The sequence below is a fragment of the Homo sapiens genome, chromosome 9 (assembly GCF_000001405.40).
Source record: "Homo sapiens chromosome 9, GRCh38.p14 Primary Assembly".
In the NCBI taxonomy this organism is placed as follows: domain Eukaryota; kingdom Metazoa; phylum Chordata; class Mammalia; order Primates; family Hominidae; genus Homo; species Homo sapiens.
The window spans coordinates 93121019-93148398 of record NC_000009.12 but is presented as its reverse complement, the minus strand read 5'-3'; the positions used below and the strand labels follow the sequence as shown (position 1 = coordinate 93148398).

Sequence of the window (27380 nt, the reverse complement as noted above, 5' to 3'; positions counted from 1 at the left end):
GGAGAATCGCTTGAACCCAGGAGGTGGAGGTTGCAGTGAGCCGCGATGGTGCCATTGCACTCCAGCCTGGGTGACAAGAGGGAAAATCCATCTTAGTAAATAACTAAATAAATAAATAAATAAAGGAAAAGATAAATGTCCATCAGGTTGAATAAATCATGATATGACCACAAAATAGAATTGCAAGCAGTCACATGTTGCAGAAGAATTTTTATGACATAAAAAGATGTAGTCATACATATAACTGAGTGGCAAAACAATATGTAGAGTGATTCTGATTGGTAAAGAGTGTCTTTATTTAAAAAAGCATAGGAAAAGTGTGAAAGGGTATATACCTGGGATATTTTGGTCATCAATCAGCAAGTGGCAAGTGTCCACACCCCTCACCTCCCACTGTGGGTGAGGGACCCTTTCCCACAACGTTGGACTTGCTTTGGTCAATGGAAAGTGGAGAGCAGTATTCATGGTCAGTTCTGAGACTATGCCATCAGTTGTCTTGCATGCTCCACTTGCCTCTCTGGCAGCTTCTGACTTTCCATATGGGAGGAACATTTCCTGAGAACCAGGTGGGCCCAGGAGAATGAGAGACACACAGAGCAAGGCCACAGTTGGGACCAAGTCCACCAAGATCAGCCAAATGCCAACCAACCCACAGGTGCAAGAGCAAGACATAAATACTCACCCTTGGCTGCCTCTGAGGTTCACGGTTGCTGTTACTGAGGATACAATATCAAAACATGGACAGTTTTTATTTCTGGGCAACAGAATTATTTTTTTTCTTACCTTTGTTTTCTAAACTTTTTACAATGAACTTACTTTTTAAAATAAGAAAAATGTTATTTGGCTGGGCATGGTGGCTCATGTCTGTAATCCCAGCACTTTGGGAGGCCGAGGCAGGTGGATCACTTGAGGTCAGATGTTCAAGACCAGCCTGGCCAACATGATGAAACCCCATCTCTATTAAAAATACAAAAAGTTAGCTGGGCTTGGAGGCGGGTGCCTGTAATCCCAGCTATTCAGGAGGCTGAGGCAGGAGAATCACTTGAACCCGGGAGGCGGAGGTTGCAGTGAGCTGAGATTGTGCCACTGCACTCCAGCCTGGGCAATAAGAGTGAAACTATCTCTCAAAAAAAAATTATTTAAGCCTACATGTATGTAAAGCAAGCTTTTGGGAAGTTTAAAAAGAAAACCTTGCCCACAAACTCACCTTATGTCTCTGTTCTGCTCCTCACCCAGATGTATGGTAATCTAATGATAATTCCAGTATGCATACTTGGATAGTCCATCTTTTCTCTAAAGATACATTGTAAACACTCTTCCATGTTGGTACACATCCTCCATGACTAACATTTACAGTGTGTAGTGTGTATTAGTCAGTTTTCATGCTGCTATAAAGACATACTGGAGACTGGGCAATTTACAAAAGAAAGAGATTTAACCGACTCACAGTTCCATGTGGCTGGGGAGGCCTCACAATCATGATGGAAGGCGAAAGGCACGTCTCACATGGTGGCAGACATGAGAAGAATGACAGCGAAGAGACAGGGGTTTCCCCATATTAAACCATCAGATCTCATGATCCTTATTCACTACCACGAGAACAGTATGGGGGAAACCGCCCCCATGATTCATTTATCTCCCACTGGGTCCCTCCCACAACACAAGGGAATTATGGGAGCTACAATTCAAGATGAGATTTGGGTGGGGACACAGCCAAACCATATCACAGTGACTGACGGAACATTCCACCAAGTGAATTTCAGAACATAGCATGCTTGTGTTTTTCCCACTGTTGGAAATTTCAGTTGTTTCTGACTTGTCATGCTTAACAATCAGGGGGCAATGGATATCTTCATGCATGTGCTTCTCCACCTTTCTTTGGGTTTCCCAAACATAAAGTCACACACTTGAGACTACATGAGAGGAAATGAATATTTGAATCACTCTTGGCATATATTTTAAAATTTGCCACCCAGAAGAATCAGCCACTGCCCCTCTCCACCAGCTGTATTTACAGGTGCTGGCCTGAGGCAGACAATGCAGATAACCCAGCTGTGTTCCGCAGGAAATGAGCTCTGATTTTATTCTGAGGGACACTGTACCTAGCCTACCTTGTAAATAGTGGTAGCAATGAAATGTAAGAAGAATTAATTGAGTGGGTCATCTGGAAAGCTCCATAAGAGGGGACAACTGGAAATGAGCCCTGCTGTGCTCCCAACATCTGCTTCCTGCTGTGATGGTTGGCTAGCCAGCAGCCCTCATGGACCATGAGGCTACTTTGAGGATGGAATTTATACACTTTGCAAAGCAGAAAAGAAAGATCCCCAGTAACATTATGGGGGCCAAGCATGGTGGCTCACGCCTGTAATCCCAGCACTTTGGGTGGCCAAGGAGGGCAAATCACTTGAGGTCAGGAGTTCGAGACCAGCCTCACCCACAGGGTGAAACCCCGTCTACTAAAAATACAAAAATTAGCCAGGCATGGTAGTGGGCACCTGTAATCCCAGCTACTCAGGAGGCTGAAGCAAGAGAATTGCTTGAACCCAGGAGGCAGAGGTTGCAGTGAGCCGAGATTGCCCCACTGCACTCCAGCCTGGGAGACAGAGCAAGACTCTGTCTCAAAACACAAAAACAGAAACAAAAGAAACAGGCCACACGGCTGGGCATGGTGGCTCACGCCTGTAATCCCAGCACTTTGGGAGGTCGAGGCGGGTGGATCATGAGGTCAGGGGATCGAGACCATTCTGGCTAATACGGTGAAACCCCGTTCTCTACTAAAAAATACAAAAAATTAGCTGGGTGTGGTGGCGGGCACCTGTAGTCCCAGCTACTCAGGAGGCTGAGGCAGGAGAATGGTGTGAACCCGGAAGGCGGAGCTTACAGTGAGCCAAGATCACACCACTGCACTCCAGACTGGGCGACAGAGTGAGACTCCGTCTCAAAAAAAAAAAAAAAAAAAGAAACAGGCCAGGCACGGTGGCTCAGGCCTGTAATCCCAGCACTATGGGAGGCCAAGGTGGCTGGATCACTTGAGGTCAGGAGGTCGAGACCAACCTGGCCAACATGATGGAAACCTGTCTTTACTAAAAATACAAAAAAAAAAAAAATAGCTGGGTGGGGCAGCAGGCACCTGTAATCCCAACTACCTGGGAGGCTGAGAAAGGAGAATCACTTGAACCCGGGGGCAGAGGTTGCAGTGAGCTGAGATTGCACCATTGCACTCCAGCCTGAGTGAAACTCCATCTCAAAAAAAAAAAAATTACGGGGGTACCATGCTGGCCTTAGATTGCCTATATCCAGGCTTTTTTCATGTGAGAGAAAAACACATCCTAATTAGTGAAGCCTTTGAATCTTCAATCTCTGTACTGGCAACGAGACTGCTTTTTACCTCTCCAAAACCTTACTATCATTGGTTTTTAGTATATTACAATGATAGAAATTATTTATAGGTATCAAAAGGGGCTTAATTCTTTTGCAATCTGGATATTTTGAGAGTCATTATAGGCAGAAGAAATAACACAAGCAAAGTTGTACAAGCTGGGAAAGACAGGCATTTTCAGGGACACATCAGTTACTTCCTGGAGTGTCTGCCTGTCTGCTCTCGCCTTACTAAGAGAAAGAAGGTGAAGTCATATTGTGGAGACCCTTGCTGCCAGGTGAGACATGAATTCCATTCCCATCATGGAGAACCATGGAGGCAGGGTGTCACAGTGGAGACAATCTATGTTTCCATCTCCCTCCCTCTCTCTCTCTCATTTCTTCCATCCCTCCTTCTGTCTGTCTCCATCTGTCTCCCTTCTTCCTTCTCCCTGCAAGTCTTCCCCTTTCCCCTCCCTGCCTCTCTCCCTCCAGTTGCAGCAGGAGCGTTCTCAGGGAATGCCCTGTCTGGGACAGAACAACTCACAGGGGAACATGGACGGGTCGCACAGCTTGGAGAAGGAGTTGGAAAGCCGACACCCTCCACAGCAGGCGAGCCCAGCCCTGCTGGCACTCTGTGAAAGGCTATTTCTGTGTTTCCTGTGTTCAGACCAAGACATGCCATCCCTGCCTGATAAATGCCCCTTTGTGCTGGAAGGGTTCTCATAAACCCATGAGATGCTCTCAGCCAGACCCAACTGCACGTGGCCCTGAGCTCTGCCCGGCAACAGTACTGCTGGGGCCGGGACCCCTGCCAGCCTAGACGCCATCAGAGCCAGAGACAGGAAATGTGGCATTCTGGGGAGCCGCCCCGGAGGCTATGTGGCTTCTACACAGCACAGGCAACATCCACAGGTGGGACAGGCAGCCATGCCACAGTGAGGCCCCAGGTCACATGCAGAGGCCTGGCTCATGGCCAGACCTGCCTTAAATGTGGAGCTGGGAACTGAGGGGTCTGGCGACTCTGCTCCTTGGGATCCACTTCCTGAGCAGCAGTGGCCACAGGACGAGTCCCTGTGGTTGTTTGGCCCCACCCACCCCATGTCCGGCCATGAGGACACACCTCACATCCTACCTGATCTGTGTGTGTGTGTGTGTCTGTGTGTGTGTGTGTGTGTGTGTAGACAGAGTCTCGCTCTGTCGCCCAGGCTGGAGTGCAGTGGTGCGATCTCAGCTCACTGCAACCTCTGCCTCCTGGGTTCAAGCTATTCTCCTGCCTCAGCCTCCTGAATACCTGGGATTATAGGCGCCTGCCACCACGCCCAGCTAATTTTTGTATTTTTAGTAGAGACGGGGTTTCACCATGTTGGTCAGCTGGTCTTGAACTCCTGACCTTAGGTGATCCACTCTCCTTGACCTCCCAAAGTGCTGGGATTATAGGCGTGAGCCACCGCGCCCAGCCCCTACCTGCTCTTGACAGGAACCAGGGGGTCCCAGGGGCGGTCCCCTGCACAGTGCCACTTCCCTGGCAGCACCCCCACCCTCAGAACTCCACGTCCACCTTCCTTGGACTGGCATATTTCAACTTCCAAATTTTTCCTATAGGCTTCAGTTAAAAGGAAGGAATAGAACCAGAGGTTCGCCACCAAAGCAAGACTCCAGGGAAATTTGGAAGGAGAAGCAGCTGTGGAAACCAGCGTTTTCAGACCGTGAGGCACAGGTGGCCTTCAGATGAGGCCGACAGTGGCCGGGGCAAAGAGCAGAGGACAGAGAGCGAAGGGCATGCCCCCCTGCTTGCCGTCTGCAGTCGCATTCTCTGCAAATAAGGTCGTCTGGGACCCCTGCTTTTCAAGGTTATTGTCCCAGATGATGTATCTTTTTTTTTTTTTCTTTGAGACAGGGTCTCACTCTGTCACCCAGGCTGGAGTGCAGTGGCAAAATTTCCACCCGCTGCAACCTCCAACCCCTGGTTCAGGCAATTCTCGTGCCTCAGCCTCCCGAGTAGCTGGGATTACAGGCATGCACCACCACGCTAGCTAATTTTTGTATTTTCAGTAGACATGGGGTGTTGTCATGTTGGCCAGGCTGGTCTCGAACTCCTGACCTCAAGTGATCCGCCTGCCTTGGCCTCCCAAAGTGCTGGGATTACAGGTGTGAGCCACCACACCTGGCCCCTGATGACATATCCTTGACCAAAATGAAGGCGACACTCGCTTACCTGCTGGCCTGAATGTGCTCACCAACCCTCTACTTGACCCAGTGAGGACATCCCCAGCCTGAACACAATGATCCCAACCAGCATGAAAACATGTGGGCTGACTCTCTCGGGCTTGGGACGGAGTCCTCTTTAGGCCTCGTCCCTTCACGGATTTATGCAAGGAAAATAACTAAAAATGGTATGTTTATAGTATGTTTGTTTCCAACATGCCACACTGATGACTCCTGACTTTTCCACAGTGGAGGGACACCTGCCTCATGCTGAGGGACAGTGGGAGGGCTTGTGGGAGGCACTGGGCCCCAGACTTACAGGGGGCAGCTTCTCAGAAGCAGGCTCTCCCCTACCTGTGCCCCTGCGTCAATCCTCAGCTTGGCCCACATCCCTGCCTCAGAACTTGCAGGGACAGCTGTGCCCGGTGGCTTGGAGTAGGGTTCCTGGGCCAGCAGCATCAGCCCCTCTGGGCTGGTCCCAGTGAGCTGTGTTCTCACAGAGTTCTGATGCATGTCCAAGTTTGAAAACCGCAGGCCCAACCAGAAACAGGACCAGACAACTCCCTCTAGGCCGGGAGTGATGGTGTTCTACTGGTGTGAGCTCATGCTCAGAAGTCGCAGGCTGACCCCTGTCCCCTCCCTGCCACAGGACAGGGAGGGAGTGGGGACAGGAGGCTTCCACAGCCTGAGCCTGAAGCCCCCACCCCACTGCAGGCTCTTGTGACATTCACAGAGGTCTCCCCCAAGGAAGCTACGGGTAGCCTTGGGCCTGAGGTGGGCTGAGATTCCCTAGGCAGGACAGGAAAGGGCTTTGGCTTGGCTGCGAGGTAGCTCCTGGCACCCAGCCACAGTAGGCAGAGGGTGCAGTGTGGACTCAGGCAATCTGGGTTTGAATCTCAGCTCTCAGAGCCCCAGTTTCCCCGTCTGTAGAAAGGACACAACAACACCATAATGAGATCATGCACACCCCACCTGGGCTACAGTGTGCTCAGCAGTGACTGCTGTTGAAATCCAACCAATAGTCCCATAGACAGTCTTTCTTTTCTTTTCTATACATATATATTTTTTTTTCTTGAGATGGAGTCTTCCTCTGTCATCCAGGCTGGAGTGCAATGGTGAGTTCTTGGCCCACTGCAACCTCTGCCTCCCAGGTTCAAACAATTTTACTGCCTCAGCCTCCCAAGTAGCTGGGACTACCAGCGCCCGCCACCACGCCCAGCTAATTTTTTTTTTTTTTTTTTTTTTTGAGATGGAGTTTCACTCTCGTTGCCCAGGCTGGAGTGCAATGGCACAATCTCAGCTCACTGCAACCTCAACCTCCAGGTTCAAGCGATTCTCCTACCCCAGCCTCCTGAGTAGCTGGGATTACAGACATGCACCAACACGCCCGGCTAATTTTGTATTTTTAGTAGAGATGGGTTTTACCATGTTGGTCAGGCTGGTCTCAAATTCCTGACCTCAGGTAATCTGCCCGCCTTGGCTTCCTAAAGTGCTGAGATTACAGGCATGAGCCACCACACCCTGACCTATTTTAATTTTTTTAGTAGAGATGGGGTTTCACCGTGTTCTCCAGGCTGGTCTCGAACTCCTGACCTCAAGTGATCCACCTGCCTCGGCCTCCCAAAGTGCTGGGATTACAGGTGTGAGCCACTGCCCCCACCTTCTTTTTATTTTTTTGAATAAATCACCGCAACCAGACAATGAGATGGCTGACCCCTGATTCACCATGACCCTTTCTTGCCCCTCTCTAGTTCCTGTTTTCTTACACATTGTTACTTTTTTTCCCTGCTCTATAAACCCCTAGTTCTAGTCAGTCAGGGAGATGGACTTGAGACTGAGCTCCGGTCTCCTCAGCTGCAGCACCTGATTAAAGCTTCTTCCTTGGCAATGCTTGTCTCAGTGACTAGCTTTGTATGCGGTGAGAAGCAGGACCTAGACAGAACTCTGGTGTTTTGGTAACAATTCCATACTCAGCCTCTCAGTGGTGGTGGTGTCACCACGTTTTCAAAAAAAAAATTTTTTTTGAGATGGAGTCTCACTCTGTTGCCCAGGCTGGCGTGTAGTGGCACGATCTTGCCTCACTGCAACCTCTGCCTCCCGGGTTCAGGCGATTATCCTGCCTCAGCCTCCCAAGTAGCTGGAATTACAGGCACCAGCCACTATGCCTAGCTAGTTTTTGTATTTTTAGTAGAGACAGGGTTTCGCCATGTTGGCCAGGCTGGTCTCCAACTCCTGACCTCAAGTGATTCGCCTACCTCGGCCTCCCAAAGTGCTGGGATTACAGGCATGAGCCACCGTGCCCGGCCCTCAAATTTTTTAGGAAAACAGCCATAACTCATAGCTCTGGACACCCCAACAGCCTGGGATGGGTGGGAAAATGTCTTCGAGGCTGTCAGGTGCTAACAGAGGGAAACAGCTCCCGTTCAGCCCTCTGAACTTCCTGGGTTCCATCGAGGGGGCTGAGGGTGGGAAGGGGAAGCCTGTGGGCCCCAGTGGACCTAGTGAGGAGGCATGTTTGTGCAGAGAGGATGCCTTCAGGGGCATCTGGGGGTTTCTTGGAGGAGGTGCCCCAGACTTGGAGAAGGAGGACTTTGGTCCCGGGCAGAGGAGGCAGGAGAGACAGGGCCTGCTGGCTGGGTGCACAAGCCCCACCACCATCTGATGCAAGCTCACACTGGCCCGTTAATGGCTGTGCACTGAGCCCTGGGCCAGGTACTGAGCTTTGAGACCCAGTTGACTAAGGAGATGTTACCTAATTGTAGCCCCAGGGTTGGGCCTTCAGCCCAGCTGGCTCCCTGGATGGGCCAAGGCCAGCAGATGAGGCTGCGCTGGGAGCTCGGCCTGGGATCTTGGGAGAGGAAGGGGGAGGCACCCAGGCTGAATCTGACTCGCAGGTGGATGTCTGTTCGCCAAACCACAGACCACCTGCCCCGCCAGAGGCCCATCCTTGCTCCCACCCTCTCTGGCCCCATGGCTTTGTGGCCTGAGTCAGCGGTTGATGTCAGGACCAAGAATAAGAAGCCTGGGTGGCCCCTGTCATTAGTGGTTTGCTGGGCATGGGCTAGGCCGAGCAGGCTGGACAGAAGGACGCCTGGGAACTGCGTCTGGAGGCTGGCAAAGAGAACGTGGCCAGGCCATGCCCCGGGCAACCACCTGGGTGGTGGGCAGACAGTCAGCAGCACCTGGGGGCTTTGAGGTAGATTTCCCTCCCTCTGGGTCCACCGCCACTGAGATGCTGGCCTTTTGGGGAGAAGGGCAGACAACACTCACACAAACACTGGCACTGACCCAGTGCAGACACGTGGTCTGCACTCAGGTGACGATGGGAAGGAGCCAGTCATGTGGCTATCTGGTGCAGGATATTCAGGTGGAGGAAATGGGGAGGACAAAGACCCTGAGGTAGAGAAAAGTCGACAGAACAAAAGAAGGGGATGGCCAGCATGGAGTGGGTGAGGGGAGGGCAAGGAGTGGGGCGATGTGGGGGCTCAGGTATGCAGGGGCCAGGAGTGAGGATGGTCACGGGGAGTCTTCAGGGAGATTTAAGCTGTTCAGTGACATAATCTAACTCACTTTTCCAAAGTAGAATTGACATCAGCTCTATTAGAAAAAAACTAAATTGGCCGGGCGCGGTGGCTCACGCCTGTAATCCTAGTACTTTGGGAGGCCAAGGCGGGCGGATCACAAGGTCAGAAGATCAAGACCATCCTGGCTAACATGGTGAAACCCCGTCTCTACTAAAAATACAAAAAATTAGCTGGGCGAGGTGGTGGGCACCTGTAGTCCCAGCTACTTGGGAGGCTGAGGCAGGAGAATGGCGTGAACCCAGGAGGCGGAGCTTGCAGTGAGCCGAGATCACGCCACTGCACTCCAGCCTGGGCGACAGAGTGAGACTCTGTCTCAAAAAAAAAAAAAAAAGTAAAAAACTAAATTATAGCAGCCTCTGAACAGGATAGTTGTTTTTTTGTTTGTTTGTTTGTTTTTCCTTACTCACACCTAAGAAGTCTGGAGGTGGGCAGCCCAGGGAGGCCTGTGCTGCAGGCATTGTGGATGCAGGTTGCTTCTGTCTTCAGCTCCACTATTTGAGGCTCCCATGGCCAAGGTCTCCTCACGGTCCAATACGGCTGTTGGAGCTCCAGCCATTACATCCACTTTCCAGCCAGCAAGATAGAGGAAGTAATAAAGAATGGCACACCCCTTCTGTTTAGGGTTCCTTCCCTGATGTTGCACACAACATTTTCATTGCCAGAATGTAGCCATAAGGGTACCTCTAGCTGCAGGGGAGAGAGAAATGCAGCTCTGATTCTGGGAAGCCACTGGTGCAGCTCAAAGTCAGCAGCCTGTGACTGAGCAGGAAGAAGAGAACAGATAGTGGGGGATGACTACTCTCTCTGCCACTTTGCTGTGGCAGCTGGGGACAAGAGCTTTGCTAGGCACAGATGTCCATAAATGCAAAGTGGCATCAGCCCCAGCCTGGCCCCTGGGAGCCCCAGTGGGAGAGACGGATGCACAAACAGGAAGGAACAGAGCAGTGTGTCAGGGTGCAGCAGAGGAAGCAGGGGCCAGCCTCCTGCTCCTGCCTGTTCTCTGCCCGCAGTGCAGCTGGACCCCTCCACATCCGCTGGCCTGGCCTCGCTTGCTCTGTAGACGATGGCATCCCACTCCCGAATGCAGATGGCCATAATCCACTTAGCCACTCCCTTGTGGTGGACGTCCACTTTGTTTCTGTTGTTCTGTGGCCTTCTAGGGCCAGCTGTGCCTCGCTGTGCAGCCTGGACACATTGCTTCTCTGTGGTGGACAGCATGAGAGGCTCTCATACCTGCGTGGTGCTCATCTCCCATCACCTCGCCCCTTATCATCCTTGACCTGGCTGTGCCTCCCCTCCCACTGAGCCCTGCCTGGTGACCTTGGCAAGTCCCTCGGCTCTCTGAGCCTCTGCCATCCCATCTTTAGTGTGGGGATGATGGCATGGCACCTCCTCACAGGCCTGGGCTTCCTTCCTCTGTCCTTCTGGAAATGGGGTGGCCACGCTACACACCCGCCTCCCTTACCTCCCTGCTCTGTACACTGACCCAGTGAGAGCTGTGGTCCCTGGGGACCGCCTGATAGAAATGCAGACTCCTGGGCCCACCCTGATGCCAGGTAACAGCTCCTTCAGGTGGGTGGGGAATGGATGGGCCACGCCTGGTGCTGGCAATACCACAGGCTTCCAGGGAGTTGCCATTGCCCTGGGCCGACTGCCAGCCCCGTCCTCCTCCCGCTCATGTTAGCAAGAGCATGTGCAGGCGGGCAGGTGGGCATGCAGAGCTGGGTCACCTCGGGCATGCTGCGCCACCTTGCCAGACTCGCTTTCTCCCTTGGTGATGTGGAAACGGCATACCTGCCTGCAAGCCTCTCCGAGGTGGAGGAGGCCAGGGACTGGCTGCTTCTGAAGGCTTTCTGTAGGTGAAAACATGGTCCATCTGACCCATGGACCTTTCAACAGCTTGGTGCTTTCACCGCATGTTCCCCCAGGTCTGAGAGACACAACTGTACTCCCCATAGTACGCGGTGGGGGTCGCTTAGACCGTGCTTAGTCCCAGCTCCTAGGACAGTGGGTGAGTAGAAGGTCCAAGCCTCCGGTGTGCCTGTTCTCTGCCCCACTGGGGTCTCATTCTTGGTCAGCGGGATGGAGCCACCTGCTTGAGGTGGCACTGTGAGGAGCACGCTGGGGTGACACCTCCATGGTCCTCACATGCCATCTTGCCTTATACCCACTTTACATATGAGGAAGCACATCCCAAGCCAGAAGGGGCAGATCTGAACTCAACACAACGCCAGCCCCAGAAGAATCCACTAGAGTCTTTGATGGGGGAGAGGGATGCACCAAGCCTCCCTGGGCACCAGAGAGGCATCCTGAGATACCCTGTGGGCTCCTCCACAGAGGCCTGGGGCCCTCGTACATATACAGTGTTTGTGTGTGCACACCCACCCACACATAGGGCTGCTCTGCTGGGGCATCTGCCAGCCCGTTCCTCCCAGCCACACCCCTCCTCTGTGTCTCTCCTGGGGACATGTCCCTCAGCTCAGGGTCAGCGTCTAGAAACTGGTCTTGGACAGCTCATGCACTCATGGTCTCCAGGAGAACTTGAAAGTAGGTGGTTGGGCCCGGTGCAGTGGCTCACGCCTGTAATCCTTTCACTTTGGGAGGCTGAGGTAGGCAGATCACAAGGTCAGGAGATCGAGACCATCCTGGCTAACATGGTGAAACCCCGTCTCTACTAAAAATACAAAAAATTAGCCAGGCGTGGTGGCGGGCGCCTGTAGTCCCAGCTACTCGAGAGCCTGAGGCAGGAGAATCGCTTGAACCTGGGAGGCGGAGCTTGCAGTGAGCCAAAATCGCGCCACTGCACTCCAGCCTGAGCAATAGAACGAGACTCCATCTCAAAAAAAAGAAAAAAAAAAGGTAGATGGAGGTGACACGGGGTACACTGTGCCTTTAAGACTTGTCCTGGGTTGGATCCAGCAGAGAACAGTTGGGTAAACAGCATTGAGCACAGTGGGGAAAACAGACACTACATACTCAAATGAGGATGACGGAGCAGACGAGGGAACTCCAGCGCTGCAGCCTGCCTGAGCCCTGACACCCACACGTCCTGCCAGCAGCCCCAGGAGCTGAGGAAACTGAGGCTGGGAGAGGGTCTCAGACGGCCAGCACAGAGCAGGTTTACAAACCCCGAGGCTGATGTCCCAACTGTCACTGGTGCTGCGACCCTCCCGGCTTCCTCTTAGAAGGTGGGAATGGGGCCAGGCGCAGTGGCTCATGCCTGTAATCCTAGCACTTTAGGAGGCTGAGGCGGGCAGATCACCTGAGGTCAGGAGGTGATCTGGCCAACATGGTGAAATTCTGTCTCTACCAAAAATACAAAAATTAGCCGGGCGTGGTGGCGCACACCTGTAGTCCCAGCTACTCAGGAGGCTGAGGCAGGAGAACGGTGTGAACCCGGGAGGTGGAGCTTGCAGTGAGCCAAGATCGCACCACTACACTCTAGCATGGGCGACAGAGCAAGACTCCATCTCAAAAAAAAAAAAAAAAAAGGATGGGAATGATGAACCACACTGCAGGAGCTCCCACATGGCACAAAGGAAAGAATACTCTCAGGACGGGGTCTCCACCTGCCAAGCCCTCCTACTTCGGGGCCTCTCTACACGCCCTTGGCCTTCCAAGGTCTCAGGGCTCCCCTGCAGCTCCCAGGGCCCTTTCTGGGTGTGACGTATTTTCTCTGTGGTCCCACACCTCCTGCCCCTCCAGGAATTGAGCCCTCGTGGGCAGGCACTATCCCCCAGAATAGGGATTTGTCCCATACTGTGAGAGAGTTTTTTGTGTGAATGGTGCTGGATTTCCAGCTGCTGGTGAACACTCAGGTGTGCCAACAGTGCCCTGATTATGCGAGGACAACAGCAACCATCCCCGTCGTGGGCCACCGTGCCAGACCCTGTCCTGCAGATCCCCTCTGAGGCAGAGCTGGGGCAGTGACAGCCTGAGCCTCAGTTTCTCTGCTGTGAAGTGGGCCCACGACAGCTCCTCCTTCATGGGATGACCCCGTTTGGAGGATCAGGGCAAGCGCAATCCTGCTGCCCTGCCCATGCCCACTCACTCCTACCTCCTGTCCCGGTGGCAGCCTGACTGGACAGAGCCTGGGGTCTGAGCTGGCCTTCCTTCCACTGCCCTTCTGGAAATAGAGTGGCCATACTGCCGCAAGCTGACTATGCTGTGGTCAGGATGAACTCCCCTGGCCTCCCAGGGTGGCCGCCACATGCTCTCGACCCCCAGGCCCCCAGATGGGCAAAGTGCTGAGGAATGAACATATGGAGAAACAGAGACCAAACAACCACTTCAATCATACAACAGGTGGGGGCCCGCCTAGCATCTGGCCAGGGCTCTGGGCACTGTGCTGCCCCCAGCCCACCCCCTGCCACAGGTGGCACAGATGGGCCCATGAGTCAGCGCACGTTCATCCCCTTTGTGCCTCCCCCAGCCCCTCCAGCAGTCTGTGCCCTCATAACCCCCATTTCCCAGGCAGGAAAACCTAAGGTCAGGGAGTGGGAAGCCCTGTGTCAGCGTGGCCCGCAATCAGGGGAACCCCGGACTCTCTGACGCTGTTACTAGGGGCGCAGCAGGCGCTGTGCTGGAGCGATCTGCGGTTCCCAGGGCGAACCCCGCCTGGGAAAAACCCAGCGTGGGCGCCAGCGGCAACGCCCGCTCGCTTTCATGCAGTTTGCCTGGTGGCCAGGGAAAGGTCGTTCTTGGCCTCATTTTGTGGATTAAAAGTGTCCGCGACGGAGGTTCAGAGCAAGACGCAGCGCAGGGTCCTCTGGGGCCATCGGCGTCGCGCCCCCTCCCTTGTGGGGCCCCGCGGGACCGTCTCAGGCCCGAGGGGTTGGGGTCGCCCCAAACTGCGCGCTCTCAGCGTACAGCCTCCAGGCCCCGGGCCCGCCCCGGGTGGAGGCGGAGTCTGGGGCAGCAGCTCGCCGCCGGGCGGGCCGGGGGCGGGCCGGGGGCGGGCGCGCAGCTGGAGCCTGCGGCTGAGGCTCGGGCGCGCTCAGGCCCGGATCCTGGCGGCCTGGGCGGCCGCACCATGGACTCGGGAACCGAGGAGTACGAGCTCAACGGCGGCCTGCCTCCGGGCACACCCGGCTCCCCGGACGCCTCGGTAAGACCTTCCCCCCACCGCTGCATGATCTTGCCAGGCCCTGTCCTTTCGGGGCGCCGCGGCTCCCCGGGCACCTGTGTGCGCCGCGTCCGCACTGCAGAGTGTTGGGGGACGTCCCGCTCTAGGCCAAGTCCTTCCCGCCCCATCAGGGTCAGAACGATGCCCCCGGGAGCTCCAGCCACCCCCGGCAAGTGGGCGGGACGAGGGGGCGTGGGGGCGCAGGGCGGGCTGGCGTCCCCAGCCCCACTAAGCAGCGCCCGCGCTTGGCTGCACGGCGGAGGGGGCCTCGGCGCAGCTCCTCGGGCTAAGGACTGCCGGCGCCCGGCTTTCCCGACCTCCCCCCCACTCTCGCGCGGGCCTCTCTAACTTCAGCCTCGCCGTGCCGGCTCCTCCGCGCACTTTGCCCGGAGGCGGGCGGAGGGGAGTCACAGCCTCCGGGCTCCAGACCAGCTGCATGCAGACAGTTACGTCACCCCACGCTGACCACACAATCTGATGCGTGCCTTGATGGGGGAACTTGGGGCCCGCTGTGGTCCCTATTCCACTCACCTGCCTTGAGAAATAGAAACGTCACACAGCCTTCAGTGTATGCCGCCACCGGCCCTCCAGAACTTGCCCTGCCCGGCCTGGGAGGGCTGTGGGCAGGGGGCAGGCCCTGGTAGTGGTCCCGCTTCAGAATTCTTCATCCCAGGACTCAGCACTTACTGAGCACCTTGTGTTTGTTGCAAGGTCCTGGCATGGCCCTCTGGTGACTTGTTTACTTTGAACATTCTTTCCTTTTCTAACCCCCTCAGGGATGGGGGCAGGGAACAGCAGCCTGTTGGGTTTTTCCAGGCCTCTCCATGGCGTGGACCAGACTGGGGCAAAGACACTCTGCCCACTCGCTGGTGAACAGTCCTAGGCCGGTGCTGTGGGGACAGGACATGTTCGGGGAGGCGGGGCCCCATGAGCCACGGGATAGGATGGCCCTGGGGCTGCATGGACACTTGTTCCTAGGTTAGAGAGGAGCTGTCGCACTGCAGGACTTGACCGGTGTGCGGGACCCCAGCGACCTGGCCCTGCCCCAGTGTGTGAGCACTTTGGAGCAATAGGCAGGGGGCTCCTCCGGCTGTGTGTCCTTGGGAAGTTGCCACACCTCGCTGGGCCTTTTAGACATGGTCTTATAAAGAGAGAACAAAGGGTCTCTCCTGCCTTCAGGGAAGTGGGGAAAGCAAGTCAGGTAATAAACAGGTCAGTGGCTTGGAAGCGCCTTGGAAAGGAAGGGATACTGCTCCTCCCCCAACCCTGACCTTGCCCGGGCAATGCCCTCCACTCAGAGCAGTCTCTGCTCACTTCTGCGGGCGGCAGGATAGGCTGTGCCTCCTGAGATGGGTGCATCTCAAGCCCAGAGGAGATTGGGTTGGATTTGTTCCCGGATCACTGTCTTGGCTCTGGGCACCAGAGGGAGAGAGACACAGCCCCGCCCCACCAAGCCGCGGTTGGAGAGCAGCCCAGCCCAGACAGGGCAGGAGAGGCCAGGGCAAAGCAGGGGGTTCCCTGGGGGCTGGGAGCCCATCGTGGGGGGCGGGGCATGGTGGTCAGGGAAGGCTTTCTGTGGAGGTGGGGACATTGGCTCTGAGCCCTGGAGGGCAGGGAAGGTGGGTGAGCAGATCTGGCTCTCTGAGATGTGTGGAAGGGCATCTAGGCAGAGGGAACAGTGGGAGCAAAGGCTCAGAGGCTGGACCACAGAGCACATGAGGGCCAGGTAGGAGGTGGGGGGATGGGAAGCCAGGCCGATGGGAGGGGCCTTGCAGGCCTGATCACGGTCTGGTGTCCAGGGAGCTGTGGAAAGGCTATGAGCCAGTGTGAGGATGAGCACATTTCCCCTTGAGGGGTAGAAAACTTCGAGGGCCGCTCTGCTCACCCAGCCTGGGGGCCCAGGACCACCCAACACACCTGTTCCTCTTCCCAACCTCAAGACCTTGCTTCTCCGTTTCTTGGGCACATCATGTCAGCACTCTGTGCCTCAGTTTCTCATCTGTGAAATGGGTGTGGTCGCGGTGCCTGCCATAGAGAGTGGTGAGGACTCAGTAGCTGATGTATATGAAGTGCTTAGAGCCAGGCCAGCACTCAGCGCCCTCATCCTTCTGCCTGCCACGGAGACCCTCTCCCACTGGTGACCCCTGGCAGTGGTTTGGAGAGGGCAGCGCTTTGCCCAGCTCCCTCAGTTTCCTTTTCTGTAAAATGGAGAGTCTCAGTTTCCTTTTCTGTAAAATGGGGCACAACTGCTCACCTCCCAGGGTGGACAAGGCTCAGGGAGGAGCCACACGTGGAACTCCAACCTGGGTGGGCTCTGTTGGGCCACGGCCGTGGGAAGCTCTCAGGTCTCCCCTACCCCGTGTGCCCTGCGCCCCTGTGGCCCTTCATGTGAGGGCCCCCATCAGTGTCCAGGGATTGAGTCAGCTCACTTGTGGCTGTCAGCAGAAGGAATAGTAAACAACAATGTTAATGTGAAAATGGCCTGAATCTGTTATCCCCAGGGTGTCTCAAGGCAGGGAGGTGGTGGGGATGGGGTTAGGACACGGCCATCTGGTGCCAGCCACACCTTCCTGCCCCTCACAGCCCGCAGGTTGAAGGTTCCTGGGGCCACATCTGGGCCGAGAGGCATGGTCCTTGGAGGTAGGTAGCTGTGCCCTGTATACCTGCCGTCTGGGCCGTGCATGGCCTCAGCTGCCCAGGAGGAGGTTTGCTCGTTTCCTCATTTCCGCTTTCCTGGCAGATCCTGAGGCCGGCAGGGTCTGGGCCAAGTTCTAAAAGGCAACCCTAACATGGTCTCAGGGCCACTCGTGGCCAGTGCTGAGTCCGCGGGAAGTGGGTCTGCCTGGCCCAGCTGTGGTGGGAACCCCGCCTTCCAGCACTTCCTGCTGTCTTGCTGGGGTTTCCTGCCAGGAACACAGACATGGAGCTGGGAGACCCTCTCAGGGCCTGCTTCCTGGGCTGGCCGGTAGGAGACGGTGCAGGGCTCCAGTGCCAGGCCCTGCCTGTCTGTGTGGCATCTGGGGAATGGGCACAGCAGCTCATGCCCACACTGGTGGGTCAGACAAGGGATGCCGGAAGCCCCAGGCAGGTCCTAGCATATGGTGGGGTAGAAGAGGGGTGCCTGATTTTCAGGTCGCCCCACCATCTGCCAATGCCTGCTGAGTCCAAGGGTTAGGGCCAGTGAGCAGGACAGGCTGCGAGCAGCCAAGGTGTAGACTGGGACCCCCCAGGCACCCAGGGCAGGCACCTCGTCCCTGTTGTCCCCCTGGGTCCTGCTCAGCACAGGAGAACCTGTGCCCCAGGCTGTCCTTTCTTTGCTGTGTGACTGTTTTGTGAGCCTGTTCAGCTGCTTTTGAGTCAGTGGAGTTGGTCGGGGAGGCAGAGTCTTTCAAAACAGTGAGAGCCAGGCATCAAGGAAAACAGCCCTGCCACCCACTGCCATGCGCTCCACCAGCCACGGGGCATCTGAGACCACCCCATTCAGTCCCCTCCACATCCTTGTCTACCCATTTTACAAATGAGGAAACTGAGGCATAGAGTGGTCAGTGTTGAGGCAGGACTCGGGGGGTAAAGGAGGTGCTGTGGCAGCTTCCAGCCCTACTCCTCACAGGCCCCTGGAAAGGGCGACTGATATGCATCACCACATTTGTGGGCCCACAGCCCCGACCCTGTCTCCTCCCATCCAAGCCCTGGGTGAGCCAGAACACCCATTATGCTATGGCCAGAGCCAGGCCGGTGGATGCAGCAAGCCTGGTTCATATCCCACTTCTGTGCCAGCCCCTCCTGCCTGAGCTGAGGATGCTCACTGAAGTGGCCCTAGGACCGACCGTGTGGCCCAGCCCCAACATGTGCAGCCTGCAGTGGGGAGGCCGACCGTCCACAGAAGGTTGCATGAGGAGCCAGCCACGCCCCTACACAGAGCTGACCTCCTCACCAAGCCTCCCTCCTAGCTTTCAGAGGAAATATATCTGGCCTGGCCCCAGGCCCCGAGTGCTGCTGAGGTTCTGGGAATCTATTAACCAGGGTGTTTATTCCCTGCCCTGCCCAAGCCATGGGCACTGGTCTCAGCAGGGCTTAGCTCCTGGCAGCTCCTGCTGGCTGGTCAGGACCACAGGGCTCCCTCACCTGTGGTAGCTGGGTCCCCCGGCCACCCTCAGGCCCATCCCAAGATAGAGGCAAGTGCCCAGGACTGGGGGAGAGTGGGATCGTCCTCCCTGGGACCCTCCTGTGTGGTGGTCAGCTCAGGGCTCCAAGGCCCAGAGTACCAAGGTTAGGGACAGGGAAGCAGACTGTCCCTGCTGCCCTCCCCTCCACATGATGCTCCCAATGTGGCCTGCTGCCTGGGGTGGTTGCCAGCTATGCTGTATCCTGGGGCAGCCCTATGCTTTGGGACACACAGTCCTGGGAGATGGCTCTGGGAAAACCTCCTCTGAGCTGCAATCTGCTGGTCTGTAGAATGGGAGAGGAACACAGCCTCTCCCTTGGTAAGCAGGAGTTTCCCAGGTGCAACCCTAGATATACGGAGGGGGAGACTGAGGCCAACGGAGGGGGAGCTTGCGTCAGGGCCACGGGCTGGGCTGTGGTGAGCCAGGGCTTGACCTGCATGCAGAAGCTTCCCTAGCTGCAGGTTGGACAGGAAGCAGATGGCCGGATGGGCTGGAAGTGCCCTTCACCAGCAGGGGTGCATGGTCAGGGCATTTGCTGGCCACTCGGGGCTCAGAGGCCATCCTGGGGCATCTGCTCCACAGCCTCGTGGTACACATGGAAGACTGAGGCACAAAGTGGGGCTAGTTGTCCGGACACAGCTGGAGCCTGAAGCAGGGAGCCATTGAGAGTTCAGCCCCTAAGGGACAATGGCATCAGCTACCAGAGCTTCTGAGCCCCGGGGCCTGGGTTCAAATCCTAGCCAAGCCCTCACTTGCTATGTGGCTTTGGGTAAGGAACCGCCTTTGCTGGGCTTCAGTTTACCCACCTTAAGTGGGCATGAGGACAGCAGGGGCACAGGCTCCTCGTGGCTGGGGGTGCTGAGAGCTGAGGCTTGGGGAGCTGGAGGCTCTGCGCGGATGGTGCTTTTTAATGGATCTGAGTGTTCCTCGTGACTGCATGGCTGTGAAATATTTAAATGGTTCTGCAGAGCTCAGAAAAAAAGGGAATTCTTCCTCCTGCCCAGAGGCCAACACAGTTAGCCTGGGCTTGTGTGTCTGTTTATGTACGTGTGCATATGTATGTATGTGCATGTGTATTTGTGTGTGCGTATTGTGTGCACATGTGTGTCTCACGTCTATGTGTGTCTTTCTGGGGGATGTGTGTTTCTGTGCTTTTGTGACTAGGAACACGCACATATATGTGTAGATGCCCCCAGAAGGTGGAAATCCTCACGGGGTCTGCACTTGGCCTTCTCCCAGCACCAAGTCCTGGGATGGAGACCCGAATGAGCATAAGGGTGGCCTTGAAGGAAGGCACTTTGGCACTTGAGGTTTGTGAAACTTAGGAGCACATGCCCACTGTGGCCAGCAGCCCCTGGGACACTGCACCTTGCGGAGCACACGTGTGATGGGGTGTGGCCCACTGGGCAGCTTCGCAAGAGCAGAACTGGAGACGACCTCAGTGCCAGGCACAGGCCCTTGTGTCCGGGCTGTCCTCACCCAGACCCTGGGCAGCCTGGGAGGAAGCCCCTAAGTGGACAGTGGTGGGACAGGGACACACAGTCCTGGGAGGTGGCTCTGGGCAAACCTCCTCCAAGCTGCAATCTGCTGGTCTGTAGAATGGGAGAGGAACACAGCCTCTCACTTGGTGAGTGCCCTGGCTGTGCTGGGGCCTGGGGGAATCCCAGGGAGTGCAGCGTCAGGCCCAGGGTGGGAGAGGCAAAGTAGACACCCCATAGAGGCTTCGGGGTATGCATGGAGTGACCCGAGAGCACACCAGGGCCCCAGGGACAGCGCTGCTGGGTGGCCCAGGTAAAGGCGGCTGTCCCTGTGCGCACATGTGTCCACGTGAACTTGCTACTTAGAGAGCAGCTGATGCTGAAGGCAGGTTGTTGGAATTCCCAGGCCCAGGTGTAAGCAGCAGAGCCCACCAGTGTCCCCTGACGCCCACTCTCTTCCTCCTGGGCACATAATTTTAGATGAAACTGAAAAACACGCAGCATGAAAGCAAGGCCCCTGCCCTCTGCTGGTTCTGTATTGGCTGCCTCGTGTATTTTTCCAGCCTGCAGAAAGTCGAGGCCTGGATGGATACCATGTCCGCCCCTCCCTGTGGCCCTGCGGCACCCCGGCCTCCCGGCCTGCATCTTTCATGAGTCTGGAAACAGGATCTCCCAGAGAGGGCCCCAGGAGGTTGGCTGCCAGCAGTGGGTTCTCACAGCTGCCTCCAAGCAGGTGACCAGTCCTGGGAGGCTGTGGTCTAGGGCCTGGCAACTCAGGGGCGCCTGTGGACAAAGGGCCGGGCCAAGGGGCTGGCAGGTTTGTCCTGAGTGACTGAAGAGGGCCCCACCAGGGCAGCTTGAGAGGGGCAGACTCTTGCTCCAGAGAAAGAGGAAGTTTGGTACTTAGCTTGGAATGAAGGGCCAGCCCTAGAGAGGACCTTCCTGTGGCAGGAGAGAGGGCCATGTCCTGCCAGGGGAAGTCCTGGGAGGCTTCCTGGAAGCAGTGGCCTCTGTGTGGGGCCTTGGAGCTTGAGAGTGTCTGGCACCAGGGAAAGGCATTGGGGGCTTCGAGAGAACTGCAGGGGGCCCTGACCAGATAGGCCCCTAAGGCAAAGAGGATTCCATCAGAACTCGCATTCCCATTTTATTACTCTGGGAAGTAATGTGGAAGCTAAGCTCCACTGTATGTCGTATGCTGAGGCATCTGTTGAGCCTCTGCTGTGTCGGGGCCGGGCTCTGGGTGGCCCACCTCAGTGAAGTCTTGCTGCTAATGGCCGAATAGTTCTGCAAGGCCTGTGCTGAGGCCTGGAGGCGAGTGGCCTGTTGGGCCCCAAGGCTGGGAGGTTGGGAGGTGGCAGGGGCGATCTCTGCCCTTAGGTCCGGCCCAGGAGGACTTGCTTCTTGCCTGGGCCGGTGTGCACAGATCTGTCCGCCCACACGTCACTTCCTTTCCTGGCATCAGGAGCTCAGACTCTGAGGGGAGGGGGAGAGGAGGCCGGGGGCACAGACCGGTAGGGGCAGGCAGGGAGGAGCAGCCCCGCCTATGGCAGGAGTGGGAGGATCGGGCAATGCTTTCCAGTGGAAAATCAGAGTGCGTGTGCTAAGGTTGCTATGTCGTTTCCTTTCTCTCCAGGACCGTATTCCTAGGGGAGGTTTTATAAAGGCTGAGCACATGCTCGCAGCCTCTCCTTAGGGTAATAAGCACTTCTGTCTGAGCACTTACCAGGGGTGGGGGCAAGGGAAGCCCTCACCTGCAGGGCCCGGTGACCCCCAGAGCCCGACTCAGGCACAGCCCTTGCCCCCCTCCCCCACCCGCCTTGCTGACCATTCCCCTCCCTGCAGCCGGCCCGCTGGGGCTGGAGGCACGGGCCCATCAACGTGAACCATTACGCCAGCAAGAAGAGCGCAGCCGAGAGCATGCTGGACATCGCGCTGCTGATGGCCAACGCGTCCCAGCTGAAGGCCGTCGTGGAACAGGGCCCCAGCTTCGCCTTCTATGTGCCCCTGGTGGTCCTCATCTCCATCTCCCTTGTGCTGCAGATCGGCGTGGGGGTGCTGCTCATCTTCCTTGGTAGGTCCCCAGGTGGGGGCAGCCAGGCCACCTGCTCACCTTGCTGGCATCTGCTCGCATCGCCTGGGACAGGTGCCCACCACCTTGCACACTTGGCTCTCAAGGAGCTGCCGAGTTCCTGGCCCTCATCACCCAGACATGCAGTCCAGGAAGTGGCACCCCCCCTCCCCCCACCCTGCACTTTGGTTTTTGTTTTGTTTTGTTTTGTTTTTTGAAACAAGGTCCCCCTCTGTCACCCAGGCTGGAATGCAGTGGCGCAGTCTCGGCTCACTGCAAGCTGCATCTCCTGGGCTCAAGCGATCCTCCCACCTCAGCCCCCAAAGTAACTGGGATTACAGGCGCTCATCACCATGCCCGGCTAATTTTTGTATTTTTTGTAGAGATGAGGTTACGCCATGTTGCCCAGTCGAATTTTTGAGCTCAAGTGATCCAACAGCCTCAGTCTCCCAAAATACTGGGATTACAGGCATGAGTCACCACGCTCAGCCTTGTTTTGTTTTGTTTTGTTTTGTTTTTGAAACCGGGTCTTGCTGTGTCTTGATCACAGCTCACTGCAGTCTCAACCTCCCAGGCTCAAGCGAGCCTTCTGCCTCAGCCTCCCAGGTAGGCTGGACCACAGCTATATGCCATCATGCCAGCTAATTTTTTTATTTTTGGTAGACACGGGGTCTTGCTATGCTGCCCAGGCTGGTCTCAAACTCCTGGGCTCACGTGATCCTCCTGTCTCGGCCTCCCAAAGTGCTGGGATTACAGGTATGAACCACTGTGCCTGGCCCCACCCTGCACTTTGAAAGAGCACAGAGTGGGGTCAGGGCCTGGCCTGTGGGCATTAGGGCAGGTGTTTCACCGGGTTCTTGTTGACCCATGCCATGAGATGGCCTCAGTCATGCCAGTCCTACCTTCTGGGCCCAGGGTCCCCTTCATGGCTGCGTAACCTTGGGCAAGTGGCTGAACCTCCCGGGCCTCACTTATAAAACAGGCATCATAATAGAACTGCAGCTTGTGGCAGGAATCACTAGATTAAGGCACGCAAAGGGCTCAGTGCATTTGCCCAAACCTGGCCTTTGGTTGACGTCCATAGCTTCAATTCGTATAAGGAAAATATGGGGGCTACAGAAGGTGGGGTCATAGACCGTGGGGTTGCCCAAGCCAGGGGCGCTGTTGTCCATGTTTCAGCAAAACAGATGTATTTTTCTCTGGGCGACAAAACTCATCCTAAATGCGACTGAGAGCCCTGTAATGTCCCAGGACAGCTTGACCGCTGGGGTGGGTCCCCTTCCACTGTCCCAGGCTGGGGCGCTGCGTCTGGGCTGCCCTTGGCACCATCCACTCCTCTCTCGCCCACAGTCAAGTACGACCTTAACAACCCGGCCAAGCACGCCAAGCTGGACTTCCTCAACAACCTGGCCACGGGCCTGGTGTTCATCATCGTGGTAGTCAACATCTTCATCACGGCCTTCGGGGTCCAGAAGCCCTTGATGGACATGGCACCCCAGCAGTAGGACACCCAGGTGAGCTGGGAGATGGGGCGCGAGGCCTGCAGTCCTGGGGTTGCTCGCTGTTGGAGGCTCTTGCAGTGTGGTGAGTCCCTGGCCGGCCAGCCTTGGACACCTTCCTAGGCCATGGGCATCCTCGTCCACACCTACAAGGCCAATGCCTGGCCACTGCCTTGAGGCCAGCCCTGCCACTGGTGCTGGCCACCTGGGGTCCTGTGGTCACAGTGTTTAGATGGAATGTGTGTAGGAGCCACCATTTGAACATCCTGGAGAACTCACTTAAACGTAAGATTTCTATACATTCAGAATGTCTGTCCGATAAAAAAAAAAAGATTTCTGGGTCAGGCGCGGTGGCTCATGCCGGTAATCCCAGCACTTTGGGAGGCTGAGGCGGGCAGATCACTTGAGGTCAGGAGTTCGAGACCAGCCTCGCCAACAGGGTGAAACCCCGTCTCTACTAAAAATACAAAAAGTGGCCAGGCATGGTGGCACATCCCTGTAGTCCCAGCTACTCAGGAGGCTGAGGCAGGAGAATCGCTTGAACCCAGGAGGCAGAGGTTGCAGTGAGCTAAGATCGTACTACTGCACTCCAGCCTGAGCGACAGAGTGAGACTCTGTCTCAAAAAACACCCAAAACCCAAAGATTTCCGGCTTCTCTTGATAAGTCAGGGGCTCTGCACCCCTTATCAGCTCCACTTAGCAGGTGAAGCTTCCTCCCAGCCCTCGTCTGAGAAAAAGGGACCTTGGTATGACCGCCTGCCTGACATGCCCACCTCACTGTGCCACTCTGACCAGGACGGTGGGATTCAGGATCTTGTCACGTGGAGCCCTTGTGACTCTTCAAGTCTGCCCCTTGCCGGGCCTCGCAGAATCTGTTAGCTGCCTGCCTTAGGCTGGACCCTGGCTGTGTGCAGGATGCAGACTGAGGCTGTCTCTACAGGACGAGGCACCCAGTGTAGGAAGACTTCTCACACCACATACAGCCTCTCCCTGTGTCCTTGCTCAGAGAGGGTGAGCGTCTGCCCAGTGACACAGCCTGGGAGCAGGATCCACAGGAAGGCCTGGGATGCAGCCATGGCCAGGGCCACATGGTGCACACACTACAGTCCATGCAGCCAGGCCAGGGCCACACACCACAGTCCCCGCGACCTTAGGCCTAGGGGTCACCCCTCCGGTTTGTAGCAGAGGTGGAGGTGAGTTGCTAAGGGAGGGGTGGGCACTCCTGGCAGGTGGCCATCTCTCCACCAGTGGTGGCCCATGGCAGAGTAGACAGGAGCAGTGCTCTTGGGGCAGAGCGCCTGTGTGTCAAGGATATATAAAAATTTCCCCAGGCCAGGCACGGTGGCTCACACCTGTAATCCCAGCACTTTGGGTGGCTGAGGCAAGCGGATCACCTGAGGTCGGGAGCTTGAGACCAGCCTGACCAACATGGAGATACCGTGTCTCTGCTAAAAATACAAAATTAGCCAGGCGTGATGGCGCATGCCTGTAATCCCAGCTACTCAGGAGGGTGAGGCAGGAGAATCGCTTGAACCTGGAAGGTGGAGATTGCAGTGAACTGAGATCACGCCATTGCACTCCAGCCTGGGCAACAGTATGAGACTCCATCTCGGGAAAAAAAAAAAATTCCCCAAGAGGGCATAGTGAGGATGAGGTGGGGCGCTGGGGCCAGCAGCTGGGTTGGGAGCACCCTGCATCCACCTGGCCTCACCCCTCCCCACACGGGGGCCAACGAGTGACCGCTGCTCGTAGTGGCCCATGGCCTCTCAAGCTCCCCTACCACACCCAAGGCCATTCCCCCAGTGGGATCACGCCAGCCCCCAATGTCCCGGCCGTGGAGCCTGAAGTCACCCTCCTGAAAGGACCTGGATCTGGGCGGCCCCATGTGGGGTCCGAGTCACTGTCCAGATGCTGCCTCCAGTTTGTAGTTAAGTTGTCCTCTTCCAGAACACCTAGATGTCAGCTGCTCCCTGGCTTGGGCATGTGGCCAGGCCATTTATTAATCACCTGCTGTGTGTGCTGAATGCAGTCCCTAACTCTCCCAAGCATGAGTTATCTGCCTGCCGGGAAGAGGGTGCTGCGTCTGTGGGCCACGTGGGGACCCAGCAGTGGACCTTAAAGCTGTCCTCAGAGGCTCGGAGGCCAAAGCTGCTGTGTGTCCTGCGTGGAGCAGTCAGAGAGGTCTCAGGCTTCGTGGGTGGCTATGGTCACAGCTGCCCAACCCGAGCCCCCCATGCTGGGCCAGGCCTCTAAGTCCTGGCAGTAACCCAGCCATGCTATATTCATTCCATTTTCAGAGGGGAAACTGAGGCATGGAGTACTTTGACACCTCTCATGTCAGAATCAGGCTCTTCTCCTTCCTGAGTCCGGGTGTGCAAATGGCCCTGACACTCGGGGCTTGTCACAGCCTGGCTCAGAGCCTCTCCTCTCCCTCCTTCCAGGCTCAGAGCCTCTCCTCTCCCTCCTTCCAGGCTCAGAGCCTCTCCTCTCCCCCCTTCCCAGGCTCAGACCCTCTCCTCTTCCTCCTTCCAGGCTCAGACCCTCTCCTCTCCCTCCTTCCAGGCTCAGACCCTCTCCTCTCCCTCCTTCCAGGCTCAGACCCTCTCCTCTCCCTCCTTCCAGGCTCAGAGCCTCTCCTCTCCCTCCTTCCAGGCTCAGAGCCTCTCCTCTGTCTCCTTTCCAGGACCCTGGATGTTGCCTGCCCTGCAACTCAGCTGCCCGACCCCAGGAGTCGCCATACCTGTGAGGTGTCCACCTCCCTGCACATGGCACTACCCAGACTGCCAGAGCCCAGGCTGGCCTCATCTGCACCATGTCCCCGGACCAGCCCTTGCTCTGACTGCGGCCAAGCACCACGCAGGAGGCCACTCTTGTCTCTCAGCAGCTGTTCCCAGGAGGCAGCTCCCTCCTGGCACATGGGGGCTGGCCACAATAGCCCAGAGGGTCAGAACTGGACAGCTGCAGAGACCTGTGCCCAGAGAAGGGTCTCGACCCACTCAAGGACACACAGCAGGTCCGTGGATGGGCTGGATGAGTGACCAGGGCCAGCCTCTGTCTCAGGACATTCCAGAAGGACAAGGAGATGTCTCTCCCTCTCCCAAAGCACCAGCGTCCCTGCCTCCCGTGGGCCCTGTCCGGGTTGCCCTGGTGACCCCAGCCTCTGTCCACTTCCTAACCCAGGGACCCTGCACAGCCAGAACTGCCTTTGGCCCTACGGATGGCCACTGGCTCTGGTCTTAAGTGCCTGGGCTTGGTGGCCATCAAGAGGGAGCCAGTCAGGCCTGTGAGGGCCGTAGACCTTGTATATACCCTGCACCAGCAGTGACCGGGCAGAGCCCAACCCCCTCCACGGGGGTCCCAGCACCCACTTTTCTAATCATGAATGAACAATAAAGCCCACGCTCTTTGTCAGGCTCCACATGCCATCTCCCTGTTCCCGGGGCTGGACCGGCCTTGGCTTCCCTGTCCCCTTTCCAGCTGCCCTGCAGGGGCGTCAGAAGCACACGGTTCTGGCCAGGGCCGCCTTCTCCAGAATCTTGGCTTGGGGAGCTCTTTGGCTCCTGACATCTCCTGGGGTGAGGTTTGGAGGCACAGAGGTGGAAGTCTGAGGTCACTGGCATCAGCAGCCCCTAGTGACCTCTGACCCAGGCAGGGTCAGGTGGGGAGCGGCGTCGTTTTCCCCCTCACATGTTTCCAGCACTGTTTTCCTGCCCCCGCCTGTGGACAGGCCTTGAGGTGCTGCCCCTGAGTCTCTCCTCTACCAAGTTTGAAGTTGCTGCTTCCCCGCAGTGGTGTCCAGTGATGCCTGTGGTCAGCGGGGACATTCTCTGGGCACAGGGGAGCTGGGAGCCATGCCGGGACCAGGCCCTGGACTCTCAGGGCCCACCTGCCCCAC

The 27380-nt window shown here is 56.6% G+C and overlaps 1 protein-coding gene and 1 long non-coding RNA gene across 5 annotated transcripts, besides 15 other annotated features; one reads left to right on the top strand and one right to left on the bottom strand.

Annotated features, from left to right (window-relative positions):
- Positions 1 to 29: 29 nt before the first annotated feature.
- On the bottom strand, positions 30 to 15387 carry LOC124902212 (uncharacterized). 3 transcript variants are annotated; one of them, XR_007061665.1, is made up of 3 exons: positions 14806 to 15387; positions 336 to 716; positions 30 to 66 (listed from the first exon to the last, which is right to left on the bottom strand). It is a non-coding gene; the product is annotated as an uncharacterized LOC124902212 (long non-coding RNA). The 3 variants fall into 3 exon arrangements; XR_007061666.1 differs by lacking the exon at positions 30 to 66 and having other exon boundaries at positions 273 to 555; positions 683 to 716; XR_007061664.1 differs by lacking the exon at positions 30 to 66 and having other exon boundaries at positions 273 to 716.
- Positions 1658 to 1952: a silencer, noted in NCBI's record as "tiled region #13679; HepG2 Repressive non-DNase unmatched - State 23:Low". NCBI's record gives its function as "represses a minimal TATA promoter and a strong SV40 promoter by Sharpr-MPRA in HepG2 cells {active_cell/tissue: HepG2}" and the evidence as "EXISTENCE:reporter gene assay evidence [ECO:0000049][PMID:27701403]".
- Positions 3702 to 4574: an enhancer, noted in NCBI's record as "H3K4me1 hESC enhancer chr9:95906107-95906979 (GRCh37/hg19 assembly coordinates)". NCBI's record gives its function as "activates a minimal SCP1, AML or CMV promoter by ChIP-STARR-seq in naive H9 embryonic stem cells {active_cell/tissue: H9 hESC(naive)}" and the evidence as "EXISTENCE:reporter gene assay evidence [ECO:0000049][PMID:30033119]".
- Positions 3975 to 4114: an enhancer, noted in NCBI's record as "active region_28618". NCBI's record gives its function as "activates an Ori minimal core promoter by ATAC-STARR-seq in GM12878 lymphoblastoid cells {active_cell/tissue: GM12878}" and the evidence as "EXISTENCE:reporter gene assay evidence [ECO:0000049][PMID:35858748]".
- Positions 4575 to 5447: an enhancer, noted in NCBI's record as "H3K4me1 hESC enhancer chr9:95905234-95906106 (GRCh37/hg19 assembly coordinates)". NCBI's record gives its function as "activates a minimal SCP1, AML or CMV promoter by ChIP-STARR-seq in primed H9 embryonic stem cells {active_cell/tissue: H9 hESC(primed)}" and the evidence as "EXISTENCE:reporter gene assay evidence [ECO:0000049][PMID:30033119]".
- Positions 12838 to 13434: an enhancer, noted in NCBI's record as "H3K27ac-H3K4me1 hESC enhancer chr9:95897247-95897843 (GRCh37/hg19 assembly coordinates)". NCBI's record gives its function as "activates a minimal SCP1, AML or CMV promoter by ChIP-STARR-seq in naive H9 embryonic stem cells {active_cell/tissue: H9 hESC(naive)}" and the evidence as "EXISTENCE:reporter gene assay evidence [ECO:0000049][PMID:30033119]".
- Positions 12838 to 13453: a biological region, named in NCBI's record as "H3K27ac-H3K4me1 hESC enhancer GRCh37_chr9:95897247-95897843".
- Positions 13404 to 13453: a silencer, noted in NCBI's record as "silent region_20042". NCBI's record gives its function as "represses an Ori minimal core promoter by ATAC-STARR-seq in GM12878 lymphoblastoid cells {active_cell/tissue: GM12878}" and the evidence as "EXISTENCE:reporter gene assay evidence [ECO:0000049][PMID:35858748]".
- Positions 13954 to 14183: a silencer, noted in NCBI's record as "silent region_20041". NCBI's record gives its function as "represses an Ori minimal core promoter by ATAC-STARR-seq in GM12878 lymphoblastoid cells {active_cell/tissue: GM12878}" and the evidence as "EXISTENCE:reporter gene assay evidence [ECO:0000049][PMID:35858748]".
- NINJ1 (ninjurin 1) lies at positions 14148 to 26903 on the top strand. 2 transcript variants are annotated; one of them, XM_011518716.2, is made up of 5 exons: positions 14148 to 14256; positions 16858 to 16914; positions 21761 to 21989; positions 23337 to 23500; positions 26169 to 26903. In XM_011518716.2, exons 3-4 carry the CDS (start codon positions 21836 to 21838, stop codon positions 23489 to 23491), a joined length of 309 nt encoding a protein of 102 aa, XP_011517018.1. In that variant the 5' UTR covers positions 14148 to 14256; positions 16858 to 16914; positions 21761 to 21835; the 3' UTR covers positions 23492 to 23500; positions 26169 to 26903. The 2 variants fall into 2 exon arrangements, with proteins under 2 accessions (XP_011517018.1, NP_004139.2); NM_004148.4 differs by lacking the exon at positions 16858 to 16914.
- Positions 14354 to 14603: a silencer, noted in NCBI's record as "silent region_20040". NCBI's record gives its function as "represses an Ori minimal core promoter by ATAC-STARR-seq in GM12878 lymphoblastoid cells {active_cell/tissue: GM12878}" and the evidence as "EXISTENCE:reporter gene assay evidence [ECO:0000049][PMID:35858748]".
- Positions 14894 to 14943: an enhancer, noted in NCBI's record as "active region_28617". NCBI's record gives its function as "activates an Ori minimal core promoter by ATAC-STARR-seq in GM12878 lymphoblastoid cells {active_cell/tissue: GM12878}" and the evidence as "EXISTENCE:reporter gene assay evidence [ECO:0000049][PMID:35858748]".
- Positions 16425 to 17022: an enhancer, noted in NCBI's record as "H3K4me1 hESC enhancer chr9:95893659-95894256 (GRCh37/hg19 assembly coordinates)". NCBI's record gives its function as "activates a minimal SCP1, AML or CMV promoter by ChIP-STARR-seq in primed H9 embryonic stem cells {active_cell/tissue: H9 hESC(primed)}" and the evidence as "EXISTENCE:reporter gene assay evidence [ECO:0000049][PMID:30033119]".
- Positions 17023 to 17621: an enhancer, noted in NCBI's record as "H3K4me1 hESC enhancer chr9:95893060-95893658 (GRCh37/hg19 assembly coordinates)". NCBI's record gives its function as "activates a minimal SCP1, AML or CMV promoter by ChIP-STARR-seq in primed H9 embryonic stem cells {active_cell/tissue: H9 hESC(primed)}" and the evidence as "EXISTENCE:reporter gene assay evidence [ECO:0000049][PMID:30033119]".
- Positions 20248 to 20307: an enhancer, noted in NCBI's record as "active region_28616". NCBI's record gives its function as "activates an Ori minimal core promoter by ATAC-STARR-seq in GM12878 lymphoblastoid cells {active_cell/tissue: GM12878}" and the evidence as "EXISTENCE:reporter gene assay evidence [ECO:0000049][PMID:35858748]".
- Positions 21065 to 21716: an enhancer, noted in NCBI's record as "H3K27ac-H3K4me1 hESC enhancer chr9:95888965-95889616 (GRCh37/hg19 assembly coordinates)". NCBI's record gives its function as "activates a minimal SCP1, AML or CMV promoter by ChIP-STARR-seq in naive and primed H9 embryonic stem cells {active_cell/tissue: H9 hESC(naive and primed)}" and the evidence as "EXISTENCE:reporter gene assay evidence [ECO:0000049][PMID:30033119]".
- Positions 23321 to 23485: a silencer, noted in NCBI's record as "fragment chr9:95887196-95887360 (GRCh37/hg19 assembly coordinates)". NCBI's record gives its function as "represses an EF-1alpha promoter that drives an FKBP-Casp9 reporter gene in an ReSE screen in phorbol 12-myristate 13-acetate-treated (for megakaryocytic differentiation) K562 erythroleukemia cells {active_cell/tissue: K562(+PMA)}" and the evidence as "EXISTENCE:reporter gene assay evidence [ECO:0000049][PMID:32094911]".

Coding starts and splice junctions, on each gene's coding strand:
- NINJ1 (NM_004148.4), top strand. CDS start 14,182: ATGGACTCGGGAACCGAGGAGTACGAGCTCAACGGCGGCCTGCCTCCG. Junction 14,257..21,760: donor CCGGCTCCCCGGACGCCTCG/GTAAGACCTTCC, acceptor CCCTCCCTGCAG/CCGGCCCGCTGGGGCTGGAG. Junction 21,990..23,336: donor GGTGCTGCTCATCTTCCTTG/GTAGGTCCCCAG, acceptor TCTCGCCCACAG/TCAAGTACGACCTTAACAAC.